The sequence below is a fragment of the Homo sapiens genome, chromosome 1 (assembly GCF_000001405.40).
Source record: "Homo sapiens chromosome 1, GRCh38.p14 Primary Assembly".
Classification (NCBI taxonomy): Eukaryota; Metazoa; Chordata; class Mammalia; order Primates; family Hominidae; genus Homo; species Homo sapiens.
This window is the reverse complement of record NC_000001.11, coordinates 120,319,328-120,343,702: the sequence shown is the minus strand read 5'-3', so window position 1 is coordinate 120,343,702 and position 24,375 is coordinate 120,319,328. Positions and strand designations below refer to the sequence as shown.

At 39.3% G+C, this 24,375-nt stretch overlaps 2 pseudogenes across 1 annotated transcript, besides 1 other annotated feature; both read right to left on the bottom strand.

The window, feature by feature from the left end:
- Nucleotides 1-1,062: 1,062 nt before the first annotated feature.
- LOC124904391 (uncharacterized) lies at nucleotides 1,063-24,126 on the bottom strand (annotated as a pseudogene). Its single transcript, XR_007066509.1, has 2 exons — nucleotides 24,024-24,126; nucleotides 1,063-16,678 (listed from the first exon to the last, which is right to left on the bottom strand). The product of XR_007066509.1 is annotated as an uncharacterized LOC124904391 (transcript).
- Nucleotides 17,602-18,146: an enhancer, noted in NCBI's record as "OCT4-NANOG hESC enhancer chr1:144504660-144505204 (GRCh37/hg19 assembly coordinates)". NCBI's record gives its function as "activates a minimal SCP1, AML or CMV promoter by ChIP-STARR-seq in naive H9 embryonic stem cells {active_cell/tissue: H9 hESC(naive)}" and the evidence as "EXISTENCE:reporter gene assay evidence [ECO:0000049][PMID:30033119]".
- LOC100996723 (uncharacterized) overlaps nucleotides 23,584-24,375 on the bottom strand; it is a 123,106-nt pseudogene continuing 122,314 nt past the window's right edge.

Genomic DNA, 24,375 nt, shown 5'->3' with positions numbered 1-24,375 from the left:
TAATCCAGTCTATCATTGTTGGACATTTGGGTTGGTTCCAAGTCTTTGCTATTGTGAATAGTGCCGCAATAAACATACGTGTGCATGTGTCTTTATAGCAGCATGATTTATAGTCCTTTGGGTAAATACCCAGTAATGGGATGGCTGGGTCAAATGGTATTTCTAATTCTAGATAGAATGTTTCCTCTTATAACTCATAGTGAATATGACTGGACAATGAAACTATTTTGTAATTTCTTTCCTGAAAGATAAAGGCGTTAGAACATAGAATCTTTCATTGATTCTACAGAATCTTAAGACTCCTTCAGAGATGGCAGTCATTCGTACCGTGCTGAACATCATGTTGTCACGGTCAGAATCAGAACTAAATTGATTAAGGTTCTGAAACAGTTTGGCACTCTTGGGCACTTATTCTGATAAGAAAGCTGATGAGACAGGGTAATGAAAAGAGGCTGCAAGAAATGACCATTCATGCATTCAGCCAACATTTAGGCCACCCTCCTGTATTCCAGGCACTGTACGTGGCACTGAGAATGCAAAGCAAAACGAGTCATGGTCTACTGGCGGGAGCCTTCTCAGCGGAGAAAAGATCAACAAGAAAAGTGCCTGCTGGAGACCTCTCCTAGGGCATAAACCAATATAGAGGTGGGGCAGCTACGTCAGCCTGAGGTGTCCTTAGGCAGAACAGAAAGTGAGAATCAGAGCAGTATCTCATTTCTGAACACCTGGATTGTAGCTTTCCCTGGACTGACTGTCAAAGGAGGTGGTTTTAAAAAGCAAGCCAAACAGGTTTCCGTCCTTTAGGAAGACCCTGGAACGTGCCAGTTGATTCTGACAATTTCTCATGAACAGAAACACCTAGGAAGGGAGAACTGGTGAGTCTTTTCAAGAAGAGGAAGTCCCTCAAAAGGGGCTGTGTTTCGCAAACGGCACCCCAAAAGGGCTGAAATACTTCGATCTGGAGGAAAAAGACTCAGGCACTGAGGGAAGGGGAGGGTGCACATCTGGGGTAATTTCAAGGCTTTTTCCGTGTTATCTGAGGTGGCAACAAGTAAAGATTTGTTCGTTTTATTATTTTTTTAATTTTTAAAGGTGTTCTTTTCCCCCCTTTTCCCCCTCCCGGCCACTCCGGTTTGTGTTTGCCACAAGACTCATAATTCCTTTAGAAAGTGGAGTCGAATTCATAAAAGTGATGGGGGGAGAGCGCGGAGAGGGAAGGCTGGGAGCCCCAGGGAGTCTTCACTACCTACACTGCCGCTCAGCTCCCGGCGCGAGTGGAGGTCGGTGTGGGGAGACGCGACTCCTGCCCGGGATGGCTGACACTCTGCGAGCCCCGGCGGCCCGCGGCCGGGCCGGGTGACTAGGCGGAGGGCGCGGAGGGTCCGCGGCGGGCGGGTGGCGCTGCAGCAGCCTGGGCACGGCTGCCGCCGCCCGCGGGCGAGAGTGTGCACGGGTGTGGAAGGCCGGAGTGCGGGCCGTGAGGGGTGTGCGCGCTTGAGCCGGAGCGGGGCTCGCCCCTCGTCGGCTCCCGCCGCCCAGCCGGTGATCGCTCTCCGGCCGTCCCCGGCACCCTCGGCCCCCCACGGCGGTTGGTCCGGGCGGGGGAAGGAGAAAGTGAGACTCGGTGTCATCACCAATCCATCGCCAGAAGGGGAGGTAATTGGAATCCAGCAGCGGCGAGCAGCAGCTGGGCAGTCACATCTGGAAATGGAAAGCCGACCTCCACCTCCTCCTCCTCCTTCTCCTCCTCTCACCCAGGATCACTTCCGAAACCAGTTGGCCTTCAGCCCCTGCCTCGGCCAGAGGTTTCATTTTTAACTGAATATTTACGAAAGCTGAAAGCGTGCGAGGGGGGTGGGGTGGAAATAGCGGCTGCTTCTTTTCCAAGGACTTATTTAATGGGGATGTGTTCAAGGCAAGACCGAATTCAGAAGGATATCGACGTCGTGATCCAGAAGTCCAGAGCTGAGGACTGCCTGTTTGCAGGTGAGTTCTTGCTTTTCCAGAACCTCGGACCCCGCGCCCCCTTCCCAGTTCTCTGACCGCGACGTGTGTGGCTGGGGGTGGGGTGGAGGGTTTGCACGTCCGCATTCCGGGGTTCATTTGGCAACAGCTGCTGCAACGAACACGGGAGCCAAAAGCCAGAGGGGGTGCCAGCCTCGCCCCTTCCCCTCCCCCCACCCCCAAGTCTGGGGCAGCTACCAGCTTTGAGGGCAGAACCCGCGTGGCCCGAGCGGGGGTCTAGGCGAAGGGGCAGTGCGTGGTATTTCCAGCCCCGCGTAGTGCCCGAAGCCTGCAAGCACGCCTCCTGGGTTCCAGCAGCGGCGGCAGAGCGGGGTTGGTTGGACCCGCCAGGTTTGCGTAATGGGCTGAGCGGCGGCGGCCGGGAATGGAGCTTGCTGCGCTGCGCTCGTAAGCTGCGCCCGGCGCCGAAGACCCCCGGGGGGCAGCGCTCGGCCCATCTCCGGCCCCTTCGGCTCCATCTAGTCCCCTCCGACTGGCAAAGAGAAGGGATTCCTCGGATTCCCAAGGCACCCAGCGCCCCTGCCTGGGGGGTCGCCTTTCGTCCATTTTGCTCCCCCGGGAGAGAGATCGGATTTTGCGTTCGCTGCCGCGAGCCCGGCGGGGCTGCTTCCGGCCTCCCCGACCGGGAAATTCCCGCCGTTGCCATGGCACCCGGCACTTGCTGCCGGGGGCGGCCTGCCGCTGCACCCAGTCGGGGGCGCGCCGCATCCCCTGGGACGCTGCGCGGAGAGACCTCGCCGCCCTCTAGCCCTCGCCTCCCGCCCGGCCAGGCCTCCCCTGACTCCACCAAATGGAGGGCCCAAGTCCTGATCGGGGTTAAAACAAATCCACTCCAGGGGTAGCTTTTGACAGGACTTTCTGTTTCAGATTTCAGATACTCAGACTCCACCTTTACTTTTACCTATGTTGGCGGCCCCAGAAGGTATTTATGGGTGTAGAGTTGCTTCATTTCCTGTTCACACTCTTGTGTTTCCTTTGTTCTTAGCGTGTTCCGTGTTCGGGTATTTTGGTTGCTTGTTTGATTACTGTGGCTTTTCTTTACCTACAACCCAAGCCTGACGTCCCTCGGTTTTAAATAGCAGGGGGAGGGGAATCAATGTTTGATTCAGGTGTTTCGAAGACCACGCCACAGGCGATGAGCAGAACTCTTCATGTTGAAACGGTTCTGCTACAGTACTAGATTGCTCTCAGGCGATTTGGGGTTGATACAGGCAAGCCGGTGCAAAACTGGAATACTGGATATGAAGTGAAATGTATAAAAGACATAAAATGTCACAAAATAGTTTGATCACAAGTGTTGATTTTCCTGGTGAGTTGGGGCTGCGTGTTTCCATGTTTTCTGAAGGTTCACATAAACATGCAGCCTGCCAATTCTCTGTATATTTTTTTTTTCAATGAGTGGTATTTCGGTTTTCACGTTTAGTTGTAAGACAGAAATTGGAGACTTATATGTAGCTGGAGTGGATGACTTCTTTCTTTTGGGGGAAGAATGAGAGATGCACATTTCGTTAGTAAATTGTGAACAACTTGAAACAAACCCAAATCCAATTGTGAATTTAAGAAGTAGAGTTAAAATGAAAGGTAGCCATTCAAATACTATGCCTTGCTGCCTTCACTTATTAAGTTAGGATTTTCTTCCTTTTAGCCCTTTAGGGATACAGTAGTTTAAAAGAGCAGTAGCCACATATGAAAGGATCAGATTTAGCTTAGAGGGAATTCCTTAGACCAGCCCTGCTGTTAAGACTTGACATTCAATATTGTTTGATCACATTCCAAAATATAGCTTAGCTAATGGCAACATTTGTAAACATATAAATTGCAAAAGAAGCTTTCTTGTGTACATACATTTTTAAAAGCTTGAAATTGATGTGAACTTTTAAAAACACGTAGGATCTGTATTACATTCTACATCTCAAAACAAATTTAATTAAAGTGAATATCATTCCAGTATATACAATATGCCTAAGACCCAGAATTGGCACACTGATTTACTAGTTGAAAATATAACAGTATTCACCAAACTTCAATGTATACTTTTTGGAGAGAATGAAATTACAGTATTTCTTAATTTACTGTAATGTCATCTTTGTAATTATGAATTAACAATTCAATGAGAGGAGACTTGGTTGATTAAATTAATGCTGGTCCTACACATTATATCTAAAGGATCTTCGTATATGACTACTATCTTCTTGGATTATTTTAACAGTTAAAATATACAAAGTGGCCCATTAAAAACAGAGTTGACTTTTCACCATTGCTGTTTTTCTGGTGAGACATGTGGAAAGGAAGGACAGGTGGACTTTTCAACTAACTAGCTCTCTGATTTTTAATAAGATACCTCAGTTCTTTTGGCCTCAGTTTACTTATCTGTACAAAGGGTAAGTCATATGCTTAATCACTAAGATCTGTTAGATACTGCAGTTAAGATTCTTTATCAACAAATTACTGAACTCTAGTGTTAACATAGCTAGAGGTGGAAAAGGAAGCAAGACCAGGTGTTGGGATGAATAATTAACTAATCGAGATAACATCAGTTTTCACCATAGGAACAAGTACCATCGTTGCTCTTAAAGTAAGAGATGTTTCCTATTTTATGTAATTTTACTAAGGGATAATGTTTTCTTTTGTCACTGATTTAAATGTACCTGGATGTTTCTCAGCCATGTGGCTAAGATCGAACACAAGTAATACCTGGGCCTTTTATATCTAATCTAATGTAGACCAGCCTGTTAAAAGAGAAAGACAATTGGTTAAACTGCTGATGTGTTGCTTTGTCTTCTCAAAAGCTTGTTCTATAATACAATATGTAAAAAGTTGTTACAGTGTAGTAACCGTAGATAATCCCTTTATGATTTGTACCTAATGACGAAGACCTTTTATTTTCTGAAAATAACGTGTTTGTTTTCATTACCGACATTAGAAGCCAATATTTATTAATCTATTTCTCATCCTGACATTTCAGTCAGACTCTTAAAATAATCTTGCTGTGTTTTGATTTAATGTGCTTATCAACTTATAATATTGAATTAATGTTAATAGTGTCATTTTAGGTGAACTAGACTTCATTGAAGGAGGTGGGAGCCTTATGGAGAGAGAGTATATGATTATCTCTATTTGTATTTAATTACCATTTCATCTAACCATTCAGAACATATTTCAAGAATAATTTTAATTCAAGTTGTAGATAAAACTTACTATACCATTTTCATTTTGACGCTTTCCGAGAATGAGATACACGGTATTTTAAAGACAAAGATTGATCTTACATGTTACTATTAAAAAAAACACGATAATTTTGTTCTATATTTATACTTTTAATTTTTCTGTGGATAATAAGAAATGCCAAGAGTCGATTGTGTCCATGCTGGCAAGTGGCCTAATAAATTGTCCTTTTATTTGGTGGTCCTCAGAGTGGCAGTTAACATCTTGCTATTCTGCCTTGTGGACTTGAGGTGGAAAGGTTCATGGAATTATATCCTTGCTTTTGGATGTGCAAACTGAGGCTCAGAGAGTTTAAGACACATAGTCACTTTCACCAATTAAATGATGAAGCTGCCATGTAAACGTATTTCATCACACTCCCGAGACCTTCTTCTCCAGTAGTGTTTTCAAGCTTTTTGAGCATGCAGACACTACCAATCAAAAAATTATGTAGAGACATACTTGAGAGTTACAGTTTAAAGAAAAACAAGGTGTAATTATTTGGTTATTAGTAGCATTTACATATGCTTGAAAACTTCTGCTATATATACAGTAAGATTAATTTATTCTAACAATGATCTTGATAATCCCCCTGATTCCCAGACTCCTTGGAATAGCTCCACAGCTATCAGTGGTTCTGCCACAGGTTCAGAGCCTTCCCAGTACTGCCTTCTTATTTGAGAGGTGTGCTAAGAGCTATAAAGCAGAGGCTTCAATTGTACACAATTGGGAAGTTTAGGCAAAAGTCATTTCTTCCCTATATTTTGTCATGCTTATCTCCTGTCTCTTTCTGTTTTACAGATTAGCAATAAACTCCTTAAAACCCAAAGGTTTGGGCTTCTGTTCCTTTCACTTGCAGTCAGACATGGAGTTAGTGGTAGAAGAAACAGAAGGGGTAACCTGCATGGTGACAGCTACTGAGGGGATGGATAGGAAAGCAGGCTGAGTCCCTGGGGCCAGTGGTTACCAAAGCCAAGGAGAGAGCAAGGGGAGCCCAGTGGGCCTGGCCATGGACTGCTCTGGAATTCCGAGTGTGAACTTTCAGCCAAGAAGGTAGTGTGAAAATATTACTGTGAGGTTTTAAAAGTACACAAATAACAATTGTTTTTTGTAAAAAGAAAAAAAAAAGTTAGAAAAAGAGATATGCCAAAAAGAAGAAAGTAAAAAATACATGACTTCTGTCTTCTGTTAACATATTAAAATTTATGCTTTTAGATTTTTATGTGTCTATATACATGTAAAATATATATGCATCCCCAAATTGTATTATACTCTTTTGAGACCTCACATTTTTTTCACCCAAGAATATAACATTAATTTCTTTCCTTTAGAAAAGACATGAGACTAAAGAATGTTTATTGAGTTGAGAGTTTCCCAATCAAGGAGTATGACTCTGTATAATAATAAATCTAATGTTTTATTAGAAATTATAATAAAATTAGAAATTTAATATTTGGCAGGATGTGAGTTGCCTGCATATGTACACCCTTTATTATATGACTAGACACTCTTTTGTGTGGTCATGGATATATTGGCATCTTTTGAAGTGTATCCTTTTTGTTTCAGGAGCTTCTGTCTAGATGAATAGCAAGTGTGACACTGATAATAGTAATCGAATATTCCTCCAAGTACAGGCTCCTTCCTCTTTCTCCTGGACCTTTGCACATGCTGCCTGGAAAACTCACCCACAACCTACTTTCCATCCTCTCCTTCGGCTCATCCCTGCTCAGCCCTCTTTGTTGAGATATTTGCCAAGCCAGATTCTCTGAGAAGCCTTTCCTGGCATCTTCGTCTATATAATTCTGCTAGTTGTTTCTAAAACTATGTTGTTAGTGTGTATTGTAATCACCTATTTATGTCTGTTTGACTGTGAGCCTCTTGGAGATGGGAATTCTCTCCTATGCATTGCGGTTTCCCCAGCCCCTAGCACACTGTCTAGCCCAGTATTCCTTCTCAGTAAGTAGGTGTTGAATGACTTACAAAATGAATGCTAAAAGACCTGGTAGACAAGAAGGAATTTCTTAGCCTAAATGACCAGATGTGGAGAAGATACTCAAACACTTCAGGGTCCCCAATCTGGTGATGTCACTTGCAGTGGAATTTCATATGAATCCAGTGTGACAGAAGTTGCCTAGTCAAGTTGTAAGTCCTCTTCTCTGGGTCACATGTTCAAATACTTTTAGGGGACAGATAATGCAATATTTAAGATACAGGAAGTGATGAGGACTGTGGCACACTGGAGAGTTTGGACTCCAAGAGTAATTAATTCAGTTGAAAAAATCAACAGCACTCTGTTGATCAAGCAAACTTTCTAGGGGCCCTAATCCACCTGGGCCTGCAGTATGTAATTCCATAACTCATGGGATGCCATCAAGAGAGACAATCTACTTGATTGCTAAAGGGCCTTTGTTTTCTTTGGAGTTCCCCAGGAAGGAGAAATGTATGTGTGTGCAGGGGTGAGGAGGGGGGGAGAGTGAAGAAACAATACTATGCCCTTAAAAATGTTTGTCAGTTTTCATTATGAAAGAAGATCAAACGTGCCCACTCCAGAAATCTTGGCATATGCAGTTATTTTGAAGCCATTCAGCGTTCTTCAAGATGTCACAATGAAAAGAGTGATGATTTTTTAAATAAAAAATTAACATGTTTCTCTTGGCAATGGGACTTTCTCACCATACTTTTAAGTTACATCACTTATTATATATTCAAAATACTGATTTTTTAAAAGTATGTTCCTTGGAGCCCTGGGAACCTGCCTCAGGAGCTGAGGTGGCTGTGGGGAGGGAGTATGAAGGGAGCTGAATGAGTGAGAATCTGGGTCTTCATATCTTTTTTAAAATTGTGGCTGCTTTTTTCTGTTCTGTATAACAACTCTTTTTGAAAACAGTTTCATTGTTGAGTTTTAAAACCACTGACCTAAAATAACCACCAATTTAACGTAAGTATAACTTCATTGAGTTTTTTTGTATTAAAAAAATTAAACTCCATTTTCTTCATGGATTAAGGTGATCCTACTAGGATATTTATTAAGCATTGTCTCTGCTGTTCTTTTTGCTTGCCTTGCTTTATCCCGTGTTTCCAAAAAATACAAATAGGTATTTTGTCAGCTATTTTACATTTTATAGCAGGGAAAACAGAGGCTTGGGTGATTTAAGTAAGTTACAGTTAGTAAGAGCCATAGGATACATTTCGGTGTAAGTCAATGTTTATGTAAGGCTTAAGAGACATTGGTTGAATTGGCATGACTAGAATAGTTGAGAATGTTTGGGAATGGGGAGAGATTGCTAATGGGATGTCTGCCAGGGGCAATACTGAAAATCTACTGGTTGGCAAAGGTAGTGCCTGAGCCCAGTGCTAACCATAGTAGTTGGAAAATTGTGTACGTTGGCTGTGGAATCCTTATGCAAATATTTGTCCAATCCATCTAAATTTCTCTCTGCAGCATTTTTAAAAAGACATATAGCTGAAATTTTGTCAGTCCTAAAAATATTTTGTATTTCTCTGCCCAGATTTGCATTTGGGTAGATCGTGCTGTAGAAGATATATCTTGCTTTAAGATAGCTGCCACTGAATAGTTTAGTCTATTTTAATCAACTTATTGCCTTGTAATCTTTCCTTTTTCATTCTCTAAATTTCTGAAATTCTATCTTTCATGTTCCCCAGGAAAGACTAGTAAGACGTGTTTTTATTAATAAGACATTATCCTCATTTCACCACGACATAATTTGGGCTTTCTGTTCCAAGTTATCCTACTTGAATGCTGGACACTTCCACCTGAATATTTGTCATTTTCACCTCAACCCAGCACATCAAAACAATCCCTTATTACCTCTTTAAAAGAAGCTTCTCTCTCCAGCCTTTTCCTAGTCAGTATCACATCTTTTGAGCCAGGTATGGGGATTGCAGTTTCAGATTTCACCTCAAGTCTTCCTCTTCTGGTTCCTGAAGCTCCGGCAACCTCTGCTTTGAAACATTGTTGGCCTCTTCATCCCATCCCATGTCAATATTTAGCCCATGCCCTGTTGGCTTTGACTTAGCTCAATCACCTTAACCCAGTGTCTTAAAATTCTTGATTTTGAGTTTCTCATCCATCCAGTTTATTTACACCTGAACTCTTTAAGCATGAAATTAATCATTCTTCTGTTCAGAAGCCTTCGAATGTGACCACAGCTTTTTCCATATAGACCTAAAACTTATATTCTTGGCCTTTGAGAGCTGCCTTCCCTACCCACTGATATATGTTTCTCGTGCTTCCTAACACCTGCATGCTTCTGTTTGCTTAGTGACCACTCCCCACCCACTCATCAGCAGTTTGTATTAATTTAGTGTAAAGCTGTGTAAAGTTTATTGATTGATAACATCTGTGTCAAGATCATGATTTTTATTATAAAGAGCAGTTCATTGTGTTTTTTCCTTGCCCACGAATGGTATCTCTGTTCATTAGGATACATAATATTTTATGCGTAGGAGGATAGTGTGAGAATATGAGTAGAACAAAGTAAGAATGAGAGGAGAGAATAGTGAAATTTGAGGATAGGATGAGAATGTGAATAGATTTATGTCCATCCATTACAAGATTAATAACCACAACGATAAAAGTCTTGAATGTTATTTATTTGCATATGAGTGATATTTCAGTTTGTGGCTGATACCCTTTTGGTATTAAATGGAAGATGACAAATCATTCAATATTAATTTTAGAGGGAGACATCTATTGAAACCTTTGTGCAGTCAGGTCAAGTTTCTGTGTACAAAAATTAGCAGAGAGGTTGCTGCTGGTTGACTTCCCCTAGGATGGTGTCTTTCTGAACATTTTGAAATGTAGATTGAAAAGGTGGATTTGTCAACTAACTCTGAAGTGCTGTAGTTATTTGTGTTTTCATCGTTTTATTGTTTATTTTATTTTTAAGGTGGAGTTTTCGCTCTTGTTGCCCAGGCTGGAGTGCAGTTGGTGCGATCTTGGCTCACTGCAACTTCTGCCCCCCGGGTTCAAGCGATTCTCTCGTCTCAGTCTCTCAAGTAACTGGGATTACAGGCACACACCACCACGGCCAGCTAATTATTTTGTATTTTTAGTCGAGACGAGAACTCACCATATTGGCCAGGTTGGTCTCGAACTCACCATATTGGCCTCAGGTGATCCGCCCGCCTCGGCCTCCCAAAGTGTTGGGATTATGGGCGTGAGCCAGCCACGGTGCCCGGCCTGTTTTATTGTTTGAAAAACAAGTACAGGTTGTTATTATCCAAGAATTGTTGATAGAGTATATACTGTATTTGAAGTGTAGAACTGAGGCAGAGGCTGATTAATATAACTAGTTTACATTTGTTAGCCTTTCACATCTGTGAAGGAATAAAGTACAGACAAAAGTGGAAAACAAACCAGGAAAAAAAAAAATTGTGAAGCACAGAGCTGCTTAAAAGAGTGATGTCACATTAAAAGAAAAAAGTCACAGAAATAAGTCAGTATTTTGTTTAGAGACTAGAACTCCAACTGCTAGCCAACTGCCTAGAATATAGTAAATATTTTCTAGTTTCTTAAATGACTAGTAATATTCCTACATTATGTGATGGCATTTCCCAGACTGTTTAATTAGATGTTAGATTTGTAGCCAAATATGTCTAGGAAATGCTTAAACAATATAAAACAGTTTTAATGATTGGCTTTTTAGAACGTTATATATTAGTGTGCTTTATGCATATCCAAGAGGTGTGTGAGGTATTTGGGGTTTTTCAGACTTACTTGATTACAGATCTGGAGTATCTCAAAACAGTTGTTTTGTGGAAAACACTCTGGCAAACTCTGAGTCTTAGTCATTAAAAATAGTTTTTAGGTAAACAACAGTGTAATAGAAATGGAAATTACTGATTCACATTGAGCCATGAAGAATTTATTTTCAGCAATTTTTATAGAAGTTGCTTTATGACAAAGAAAGCTTTGGTTAACTGGCATTTGGCATTTCACACCACTAAATTTTCTACATGTGGATTTATTTCTCTGGTTCTCTCACTTTCTCACTCAGTTATACTGAATTCATTTATGATGAGCGCTCTCAACCATTCTTATTCATCAAAGCCCTGAAGTTGGCAGAGCCCTCTCTGGTACCTGATTAGAAGTCCGTCTTCTGTCTCATAGGGAAGTGTTAGAGATGGATAATGTTTCTGTGTAGCAGAAGTAGTCATTATGTCCCCTTAAATTCGGTCACTTTGACTGCAGTAAAGCTTCTTAGTGAGCAGTCTGTGATGGAGTATACTTTCGGAGAAGCTCATGGTGGGGGAAACCTGGAATTTATCTAAATATTTCATTTCTTTGATAAATTACATTAAAAAATTAATGAGAGTATCTGTTTGGTGAAATCATTTTCCTCCACGTGACCAAATGAGAAATTTAGTGAAAGATTTAAAATCATTTTTCAGACTTTTTCCACATTAGTCGGGAAGCAAACCCCTTTTTTAAGGCAATGTCAGTTATTAAGCTTTAGGGAACCACATGCCACTTTAGGTAACACGTGATTGGAGAGATTGAAGAGTGAAGTCCCTGCTTTAAAGTGTACTCCTGTGGACACAGTAATACATATATTTAAACTGGTTCATGTTAAGAGTAGGTATATTTCTATCTAAATACTCTGTAGCTTTTGTGATTCAGGGAAATGAGTGGAGCCTCACAGGCACAAGAATCTAGTAAATTCTAGGTTTCTTGTGTGGAAATCAGTGGGCAAAATCTTAACTGAGTGAATTCTTGATTATTGGTATCACATTTGTTAGTCTGTATGTATCTGTGTCATCGATCTCCTTAAGAAGAGACTCGTAGATATTGACTGGGAGACCCAAGCTGAATGCTAAAATCTGCTCCATGGATATAAGCTGATGCAGTCATCATTTCACATTAAAATGTACCACAGCTATATATGCAGCAAAAAAAAAAAAGAAGTTAGTCCCTCCAGCTGAAAAGCGGTCATTACTTTATTATCACCACAGAATTTGAAATGATTTCTGTAGTTAACAGTCAGATTTTATTTTTACTTAACTAAGACAAAGTGAATAATTCACTGTGAGCCAAATTCTTTCTTGATTCCTCTTTTTGGAGCAGTCCATCTTTATGGGAAAACCAGCCTAGAATGGTGATTTCAGTTTCAGGTGATTTCGATAGAATTGTATTTGGCTCAGAAATGATAAGACTGGGGCCAAGAAAAATTTTAAACTTTTTTTTTTTGTAATCATATTACTAGTTTGATTTCATATGAACTTCCTTTGTTGACTTTCTTTGCCATTAATTTAAAAGTTCCAGTATCCTCAATATTTGATGTCTTATATATACAGAATCCTTTCCAGCTGTAAGTCATCAGCAAGTAAAAAATTTAGTATGGCAATAGTTTTCATAAGAGGTTTTTTAAAACAGAAAAATGTTGACATTGCCAGCCTCTGGGTTGCATTTTGGGATATGCTACATTTCAAAGGTATCTTTTAAATCTGAAGGCAAAGACTTTTTCAACATCTGAATATTCTGATTTACAGAAATTAAAAAAAAAAAACCCCGGAACATTACACAGGCATATAAATTTGAATCAGGAAAATATAAAATTAGCTGATTATTTTTATTCAGTAAAAGTGCCTTGGCACAGAACTAAAATTGATAACTTATGGTTTTAGCATGTAGATAAGTACATGAGAGTAAATCACATTTCTATATGAATAAAAATATCCACTTTATTCATGTATAGATTATAAAACTATACTAAACAAAAAGTAATCATTTACTATTACAAAAATTATTAAGAACCATTACAAAAATTCTCTGCCTACTAATTTTCAATCACCATAGAAATACAGTATTTAATAATGCTGCTGCTGTACTTACATAAAACATATTAAGAATAGATGTTATATTTCTGTGTTTGAATATTGAGCTTAAACATAAAACATGTTTGAAATGTGTTTGTGTGTGTCTCTCACACACACACATAACATGTACATACCTGAAACTCATACTGCAATTGCAACACATCTTAAGTTTTTCCTTTTAAACATACCAAGATAACATTCTAAAATGAAGAATAATATCTATGTCTCTCTTCATACTACATATTATCTCTCTACGTATATACAATTGCTATAAACATATCTTTATATTTGATATATATAGGTACATATATATGGATAGATAAATATAGATATATGAGAGAGAAATGGAGATTAGAGATCTATGTTTGCCATAAATCATAGTTGTTAACATAAACCATCTGATTAAACTGATATTTTGTGGCCCAAGACCTGAGACATGCAAAACTATTCTTAGCAGATAGAATTTTCTAAAAGCTGAGAGCTCATTCTCCAGGAGCTGGCCAAGGACCAGTCCTAAAGGCAGACCTTTCTTGGAAATGTACAGAGTCTGGGCAAACAAGACCTGCTGAGTTAACCCTTTCCTATACATATGCAGACGGTATTCAGCACAGGGCCTGACAGAAGGCAGTGTTTGTTATTATTATTCATAGCATTAGCCCATTTCTTGTTGTGAGCAACATGAACAAGGAGACTAAGGGGAAAAAATGCCCTTTTTTAGGGTGACCACTCTAACTGATTTGAAAGTCTACAATTTTTTCAGTTTAAAATGGTATTTATTTGTAACATGTACTATTGTTGAATAACAATTTCTAATAAAAAAACTACGCTAGTTTTCTGCCTATGGAGAAGCCACCTTTTTATTCTTTTACTTTCTTAATAAGCTTGCTTTCACTTAAAAAAAAAATCTACCCTACATATACACAAAAGTTAAAAAGCAGCAATAGTGTACATTGGTCAGTATAAATGCATGCAGTTTTCTTTTCTTCAGTGTACAAAGCCCAAGTCTAAACCTTTATAATTTTTAGAGTCTAGCGATTCTCCAGACTCCATACTTTTCGTTGTTATCAGATGCCAGTGTTAATTGCTTTTCCTTTCTTCTGTTTTGGGTTCCTGATCTTCATCTGTGTCTTTAAAACAGATTATTTTCTTTAGATTTGAAAGGTTGGGTTTTTGTCTTCATTTCTTATTTGTTTAGCCTTGTACTTCCCTTTCTTTAATTGAATTGTGTTATTGAAAATTAAATAATTTATCTGTGAAGTCAAAAATCCTGTTTCAGGGTGGGCTCTAGAGCCTTCCTCTTGGGCCATATCCTTAGAAAGCCTGTGTGTATTCTGATACATTTGGCAATTTCTACTGGCTTTTCTTGTATTGTCTGACCCCTTTTTATTTCAGTGGTGCATCCTGGTCTTACCCAACAGGCAAGTGGTGACTCCAGTGCAGGTGATGCAGAGGTGACACTAGAATGAAGTGAAATATTCTGTTGAGGGCTAAGTTCATGTTTTTGCTGACAGTGGTAGATAAATGTCATGGCTTCCCCCTGCATAGTGCTTAGGACATTTCTTTTGATATGTGTTTTAGAGAAAACATAAAACTTGTAATCAGGAAAATGCAATAACGGAAGAAATGCTTACTTGAGTAACTAATGTGAGTTAGGCAAAGAAGATACAAATACTTCCCATTTCCTACTTCTAAATTACAGTCAAATTGTCCTAAGCAAATCTCTCATTGTCTCCATGTAAAAGATACAGAGAAGCCGTTAGAAAAAGGTGGCTGGAACAGCTTTATACATACAGCCTGAATGAACTGCCTCATCATTTATATGTTTGAGGAAAGTGTCTGTTTGATAATTTAAATTAAGTTTAAACTGTCATAAACGGAGAGCTGTACAGATTCTGTGGGAGAGGATACTGGGGTACCAGATACTCATTACTAGGCTCTCCACTCTGCCTTCTTCAATACTCTGGATCGGTGCCCTTTATTCATTTTTTTCACAACTTCCTCCCCTTTGCTCACATTCTTTACAAGCTTCCAGGATTTTTTAATTTTATTTTATTTCTTTCCACAATGACTCTCATGGCTGTTGCTATAGTTGCTATAAAAGGCAAGGTGGGGAACAGACAGGTGAATGAGCACAGAGGTCATTTGTAAACCGTTTGTGGTTAGTGCTCCTCTGTTTACTGTCTGTCTGTCTCTCTCAGTGTCTCTGGGTATGTGTCTGTTTACAACATAAAATATATGCACACAAATCTCCAATTTTTCTAGAGTAACTATTAACACAGTTAAAATCTGGAAGAACTCTATCTTTTAAAGGAAATACCAATTAGCAAATAAAACAGTTGATTCCCCCCAACTCTCATTCCCCAGAGCTTGCTTAAGTGTGTGGTTTGCACACATTCCATAAATAAAAACATTGCTGGCTCATAACTATGCTTCACTTTCATAAGCCTTCCAAATGTTAGTAACTTAGCCTTCTCCTTTTGAAGGGTTAGTCTGTAAGTGATACTGGAAGCCATGTGGTAAGAAAGAGGACAGAAGTATAAAATCAGACTCAGAAAGTAAAATCTGGCATATTTGGCATAGATCCATTCAGCTTCGTATACTTTGTTAGGACCCGAGGGCATGCCTGATTTTCATAAAATCGATGCACTGTTATTAAAACAAACAGGTGAAAATCACTTTTGTTAAACTACTTGACAAGGCATCTGACTACCTTAAGTGTGTTATAAATTTTGCAAGTGGTTAAAATTTTATGCTTATGAATTCAAAAGATAGACTTTAGTTAAATTAAAAACTAATTTATGTAGATATTTTCCCTAATAATATAGCACAAATGGGTTTTATTTCCAACTGAAAAGAGTATTTATTACCATGGATATAACTAGAAGAATCATATAAATATATGTAATTCCATTAGAAAATATTTTTCTTAAAATTTGAAATGACAAGAACTTAATGAATCTTAAATATCTCTTGTTTTATTTTGAAAAATTGTTTTCATAAGATACAATTGAGCAATTGAGATTTGTTCTCCCAGTATCTGAAGATTTTTTTGGTCTTGTTTTGTTTTTTGGGTTTTTGGCCCTAAAATTAGGTGAATTCAGCTTTGGGTCTATTTCATCCATTCTGGAAGGTTCCTTGGGTCACTGATCTGAGGCATTCTTGATGTGGTTAGGACTTCCCAGCATTATTTTTTTTAGATCCTGTTTATTTAAAATGAAAAGGATTAGCATGAGGGATGGTAACATTCCTTTTTGATATCTGTAGCAGCAAGTTTTCTTATGATTCATTATTCTTCTTCTTACAGCTTTAAATCATCTAGGAACTTCATATAAAATTTAATTCCAGTTTCAACTAGTTGTGGAGCATTTGATCCAAAATAAAATGAAAGTCCTCTCTGAAGCTGTAGAGGAGGCTCAAGAATCAGAACAACCTGAAGTTCTTTAAGCTGTCAGTTGAAAGACTAGGTAAAAAACAAATATCATTTAGTGTGATCATTAATGCACATGAGTCATTATTCCATGTGGTTGCTGTCGACTGGTCAGGGGCACTTCAAGCCCTAATCTGTACTTTGTCCTGTCTCTCTACACCCCGTTCTACTTTTTCAGCTTGCCTGTAATATGTGAATGGAAATAAAATAATCAAGCTTGTTAGAATTGTGTTCATAATGACACAAAAGACCTGAGAGAACGTAAGAACATATAGAACATCCAAAATAAGACATATTTTTGGTTGGTTTAAAACCTTTTTGTTTGTTTCATTTTCTTCTGTGCTTAATGTATAGTTACTATTATTTCATATCCTTTGACTTACAGGTTTGACTGCAATGCAGTGTGAATATCGCACATGGGACCATTTGTCATACTGTCAGATGGCAATACATAGATGGATAGAATTTTGCTGTTTGATCAAAGCTGTGCCATCGGAAACTTGTTTTCCCAAGTATGGGTACATTCTCCTCTTTTCCTGAGTGGAGAAACCTAGATCTGAGCAAAAAGCATGAATCAATACACCTTGGGAGGCAGGGTGTGAAATATTTGATGCCATTTCCTTTGCTTGTAAATTGTTCATTTCATTTGAATATAAATATAAAAGGACTTCTACCAAGAACATGAAACTAACATTTTGCCAAGCTAAATTTTAATGAATTTATTTGGACGTTTTTATAATCACTTAATATTTTCAGTTCATGTGCTAATATTAACTCTACTTACTGGAGAGAAAGAAATGGTATTCAATATGATAACTGCCTTGTTACTGCAGAAATGTAGAAGTTTGGCATTTTAAGTATCAAATATTTTAAGTCAAAAAATTACTAGTGTCCCACAGCACAGAGAGAGAATATATGTTTGCTTGTGTCCCTTTAATCTTTCCCCTGTAAAATTAAGCCTAGGGGCTTTACACTATTTTAAATTTTCAAAATTAGGTCATGTAAATGTTGTGTCAGATTTCCAATTCATAAGTAGTATACTTATGAATACTGAATAGTGAACATAGGGTACATTTATATCCTACTGATTGCTTAGCTGTGGACCAGAGGTAAACAGAGAATGAATGGTATTTTCACAGGTTAGTAAACTGTTTTTCTATGATCTCTTATATACAAGTGTGATTAACATTTTTTCCCCCTTCCTGAACTAATATAGGAACATATGGTCTAATAAGTGTGAGTTCATTTGGGGAGGGCAGGATAGAATGCTTGAAATTAGGACTGACCCAAAAAATGCCTTGGTCTCAGTATTTGTGGATTACGAGGAGGAAGGGCTGAAAAGGAACCTTAAAAGCATTAGAATGGTAGAGTACAGATTAGCAGCAACACTCAGGGCTCCATCATGAAGAGAGTGAGATGAGTTCCCATGATTAATGCAGCAGGGGCTCTAATTGAAAGCCCTCTACCTAGGAAATGATTTAAATCCTTTTATCCTAGCTGGATTGTGAACATTTTATTTACTTTGAGGAAGTTGTTTAACACTTTTTGTAGATTGCATCAATATTTAGAGTAATGTAAATACATTTTCCCTTTGGCTATTTTACAAGGACATGGAGGATTAATTAAATTTAAAAGAAAGTAGTGCAGTTAACTCCCAGGAGACAGAGGGAGATGTTTATCATTTTTCTCATCATTCATTCCTTATTCATTCATTTTACAAATGTTTGTTGAATAGTAATTATAATGAAGATACTATACCAGCTTCCTGAATTGGGAATACAAAGATGAAGGATGAGAGTGACTTCTGCCTTCATTATGTTATGTGTTCATATTTTCTTTTTAAAATTCTCATTATAATATGAGTAATTGTGCAGGGATTTAATATTGCTGGTCTCAGCAATAGTTGATCTTTGATTAACATCTCACTGACACATATTTTCACTGTGTATATTTATTTTTCCTTTCTAAATTTAGAACTACTCTTTATCTTCTACTGTAAGAGATATACAACATACTTTTGTTTTTTTCTATGTTGTAATCTGCAGTTTTTTTAACCAAGAATAAACACTAGTTCTAATAGCAAACAGAAATAAACTCCCTACACATTACCTTCTCCATTAAAATATGTTTTATGCCACATGCAGAATTTTAATATTATATAGTTATTTGTGAAAGTATAACTAAATAGAAATTTTAAGAAAGAATGCCTCTAATATTCATATCTTAGCACTAAAGAAGCATATATTATTCTGCAGATTGAATTAAAATGTTAGTTACCAAGATATGAACTTAGACATTTTCAGTAAGCATTTATAGGCTATTCTAGTGGAAAACTGTACACAATTTCCCATGAGGCTGGTGAAGGTTTCTTAGCTTAAGCGACTTTTTAGCTGGTTCTTGGATTTTATTAAATAATATTTGAATGAACAGTTTTGACTAACAGCCTGAAAATATTAATCTTTCCTCTCAGTCTGAGCAAGTGAAAGTAGATAAATTCATATTGTATGTCTGATTCTCTTTGGGTTTGAAAAGAAATAAAGACTCCACTTCTAAATTAGCATAGAAAAAAGGAGAATTTCTCTTGATTTATTTCTCAGTTTGGGTTTGTGCTTTTGAAAAAGGAAAATAATGATTCTGAAATCAGTAGGCTTTGTCTTTGCCAAAAAATGTGGACATGTTGATCTTAGGGGGGCTGATTATATAAAACAGTAGAAATGTAGTCTTAGATGAAAATCTGTAAAGATGTAAGAATGCTGAACTAACATGAAAATCAGGGGCTGGGAAAATGCTGGATTGAGAATAATGTGATAATGAAGGTTTTATATATATTCATATATTCTCTTCAACATACATAATGTCATAAAAAGGATAAAACGCCTAAGTCTAGTCTTGACAGAGCACCAGCTTAAATCACATGCGCCTATCAGAGAACTTATGACAATATTTAGGGCTAAACTGATGTTACTGGTGAACCAGTATCTGGAATGATTTCCATAACTCACTTAACTTGCACATTTATAATGTGGACTTTAAATAATAATTATCAGGATGGCTACTCTGAAGCCAGGAGCTTAGGAAGTGTCACAGATGGTATATATTTGTATTCCTGCCTCATGTCCCTTTCCCTGAAGTGGCGTGTGGAGTATGAGGGATTACGGTGTATTTGTAGGTGGTGTCCCTGAAAGGCTATCAGGGGACTTCTGGTTCTGCTTCAGTTCTGTTTTGTGAAGACGGTCAAGTGATTTAAGGTCTCTTGCTTCAGCCATCCCACTTAGAAAGCAGTTGCTTTATAGTCCTTTGGGTATATACCCAGTAATGGGATGGCTGGCTCAAATGGTATTTCTAGTTCTAGATCCCTGAGGAATCGCCACACTGACTTCCACAATGGTTGAACTAGTTTACAGTCCCACCAACAGTGTAAAAGTGTTCCTATTTCTCCACATCCTCTCCAGAACCTGTTGTTTCCTGACTTTTTAATGATTGCCATTCTAACCGGTGTGAGATGGTATCTCATTGTGGTTTTGATTTGCATTTCTCTGATGGCCAGTGATGATGAGCATTTTTTCATGTGTTTTTTGGCTGCATAAATGTCTTCTTTTGCGAAGTATATACCCAAAGGACTATAAATCATGCTGCTATAAAGACACATGCACACGTATGTTTATTGCGGCACTATTCACAATAGCAAAGACTTGGAACCAACCCAAATGTCCAACAATGATAGACTGGATTAAGAAAATGTGGCACATATACCCCGTGGAATACTATGCAGCCATAAAAAATGATGAGTTCATGTCCTTTGTAGGGACGTGGATGAAATTGGAAATCATTCTCAGTAAACTATCGCAAGAACAAAAAACCAAACACCACATATTCTCACTCATAGGTGGGAATTGAACAATGAGATCACATGGACACAGGAAGGGGAACATCACACTCTGGGGACGGTTGTGGGGTGGGGAGAGGGGGGAGGGATAGCATTGGGAGATATACCTAATGCTAGATGATGAGTTAGTGGGTGCAACGCACCAGCATGGCACATGTATACATATGTAACTAACCTGCACAATGTGCACATGTACCCTAAAACTTAAAGTATAATAATAAAAGAAAAAAAAGAAAAAATAAATAAACTTATTGATCATCTATGTGCTAGGCATATTCTCTGTTTGTATATATTGGAACATGAACCTTCCAGGTCCTTGAAAATGTGGTGGGTACTAAATGAAATGTTTCCAGTTGTGATTCTTTTTTTTTTGAGACGGAGTCTTGCTCTGTCACCAGACTGGAGTGCAGTGGCACAATCTTGGCTCACTGCAACCTCCACCTCCCTGGTTCAAGCGATTCTCCTGCCTCAGCCTCCCGAGTAGCTGGGACTACAGGCATGCGCCACCACGCCCAACCAATTTTTGTATTTTTAGTTGAGATGGGGTTTCACCATGTTGGCCAGGATGGTCTTAATCTCGTTATCCGCCCGCCTCGGCCTCCCAAAGTGCTAGGATTACAGGTGTGAGCCATGACTCCCAGGAGAAATAACTTTAAAAACTTAAAAACATTGGGCTGGGTATGGTGGCTCATGCCTGTAATCCCTGTAATCCCAGCACTTTGGGAGGCTGAGGCAGGCGGATCACCTGAGGTCAGGAGTTTGAGATCAGCCTGACCAACATAGTGAAACCCTGTCTCTACTAAAAATACAAAAATCAGCTGGGCGTGTTGGTGCATGCCTGTAATCCCAGCTACTCGGGAGGCTGAGGCAGGAAAATCGGTTGAACCCAGGAGGCAGAGGTTGCAGTGAGCCGAGATCTTGCCACTGTACTCCACCCTGGGCAACAGAGCGAGACTCCATCTCAAAACAAAAACAAAAACAGAAACAAAAAATTAAAAACATTATACAAATGTAAACTGCAATGATGACAAGAAAGAAGAATGTGGACTCCATATGAAATTCCCTCTTGGTATCTGCACTAGAACATCTCTACTTTTCTTAAGCCTCAAACTTTGCTCATCTCTTTGACCCTTAGTCTCTACAGAGGATCTGTTCTCCTACTCTCCAAAATTGTTCAAGGTCATCTGATGAGTGGCCTCAATTTATTTTCAGATGTGCATGTGCTTTACTTGGGGTTTTGTTTTGTTTTGGTTTTTAGTTCAGTTTTTTTTATTGGGGTTCAAATATGAGACAGTCTTGGGGAACCTAGTAGGGAAAATCTGAAAGCAAATACAGTGCCATACTGAGAATTGTACAATATGTGTGTGTGTGTGTATATATATATATATATAAAAGAAACAATACAGAAACTTCATTCTGCTATCACAAAGCCTTCAAAGAAATGACGATTGATGCCTTAGTGAGGTTCACTAGAAGGGAAAAAGTTGGCAGATGTTTCCCACAGAAGGAAAAGCATGAGCAAAATTCTGGAGACTTGCCATAGCTTCTTATGCTTCTGGAGGCAGTATGGCTTCAGGGTTTGGATGTCAGCAATCCCTGAAACCATGTTTCACAAGTCTCCAGATGCCAATTTTTTCATTAATAAAGTATAATAATTCATATCTCATGGGGCTGTTAAACAAGAACATAAAGTACTCAGCTGTATGGTAAGAGCTCAACAAAGCTTAGCCATCATTATTATTACTAGCCTGGCATGAATGAAGTTAAGGAATGGTGGTGGGTGATGAGTGTGGGAGAAATCAGAGGTTACATCATAAAAGGCTTTGATGGCCACATTAGGAGTATGGATCTTATCTCCTAAAGGTATTGCAAAGTTCTTAAATGGCTCTGCCATGGTGCGATTAAATTTATGTCTTGGAAAGATCACATTGGTCATGGTATGCACATGTGGTTTTTGCCTATTCAGTTAAAAGCTCCTTAAAGCTTTTTATACCACCACAGTCTTATGCACCTAAGAGGCTAAATTATTTGCCAATTTGTTGTGGTTGAATTATCTATTTCAGAACTACTCTGAATTATTAGGTTGAGATTGAATGAGAGGAGCAGGACTGGAAGTGGAGAGGACATTTAGAAAGTTTCCTCGGTGGCCGGGCGCGGTGGCTCACGCCTGTAATCCCAGCACTTTGGGAGGCCGAGGCGGATGGATCACGAGGTCAGGAGATCGAGACCATCCTGGCTAACACGGTGAAACCCCGTCTCTACTAAAAATACAAAAAATTAGCCGGGCGTAGTGGCGGGCGCCTGTAGTCCCAGCTACTTGGGAGGCTGAGGCAGGAGAATGGTGTGAACCCGGGAGGCGGAGCTTGCAGTGAGCCGAGATCCCGCCACTGCACTCCAGCCTGGGCGACAGAGCGAGACTCCGTCTCAAAAAAAAAAAAAAAAAAAAAAAAAAAGAAAGTTTCCTCGGTAATCCAGACAGTAGATGGTGGTGACCTCAATAATTGCCCAGTTACCTTCAGGACAAAGTCCAAGTTCCTTATAATGGTATACAAAGCTGGCACAATCAGACCCCTATTCTCAAAACAGCTTACCTCTCACTTGTCTTCTCACTTGCTCCAGTTATGTACAATTATTTAAAGTTCTTGAAATATTCCTTTCCCTGTGTCTTCCCTCCATAGTTTCTCCTTCTGCATAGAATATTTCCTTTCCCTATCCACTTTCTACCTATTTATTCTACCTCCTATTCATCCTTCAAAGCTCAGCTCAGATTTCGCTTCCTCTAGGAAACCTTCAATGGCATTATCTTAGTCTTTTTGGGCTGCTATAAAAAAACACCATAAACTGGGAGGCTTATAAACAACGGAAATGTATTTCTCACAGTTTTGGAGGCTGGGAAGTCCTAGATCAAGTCACTGACAGGTTCAATGTCTGGTGAAGGTTCACACTCTGGCTCATAACGGTGCATTCCCACTATATCCTCACATAGTAGAAGGGGCTAACTAGCTCTCTGGGGTCTCTTTTACAAGCGTATTAATCCCATTTATGAGGGCTCCATCTCCAATGTCTATGATTTAATCACCTCCTAATGGCTCCACCTCATAATACTTCTGGAGGCAGAAGTATTAACCTTAAGGGTTAAGATTTCAACATATAAACTGGTGGGGGAGGGAGGTGGGGATGGGACACAAACATTCAGACCACAGCAGACAACTTGCTCTTTTAATGTGGAATGGATGACCCTCCAATATTTCCCCAGAGCACCCCATGCTCTTCTATCAGGGAACTTATTAAAATCATGTAACATGTTTCTTGGTGACAAGAATTAGGTCTTTTGTTTCTGTAACACATGCCAGATACTTAGCCCGGTATCTGGCATGTGGCATGCCCAGTAAATGTTTGCTGAATAAGTGAATCCATGTCTCTTGCTTGCCGCTATTTGCCCACTGAATCCATGAAGTGAGTTTTCATAATGGATACCACTGAAAATTCAACCCTGAAAAGAATGTCTTCGGTTGTGGGACCATAAAGTCTTAGAAATAGTGAAGCTCCTACTGTCAGTCCTTGAAAGGGAACAGGACAGCTGCTGTATGCCTTGAGAATGGGCAAAAGACAAGCGACAAAAAGAGCACCGAAGGCACCTACTTGTCCTTCTGGGCCAGGGTCTCAGTGTATTGGTCGGGCTTGACCTGGTCTCCTCGTACATCTTCCCAGTTTTTGGTGACTCCCTTCAGTTTCTCTGAGAGCTCCAGGTTACACTCCTTCTCTGCTTCCACCAGAGCTGCCATCCGCGCAGCTTCATTCTTTGCTAGCCTGGATTCCTGGAAAAAGAACAAAAACTGAGAGGCTGCAAAATTTCTACCTAGATTAGGAGCCCTAAGACCCAGGAACATTGATGAATTTCAGAGGGAAAGTAGAGACGGAAAAGGTGAATGCCAGAAGGCAGAGCAGTAGGAAGAGGAGTGTTAATAAAAGAGAACCCCTACCTATGGACTTT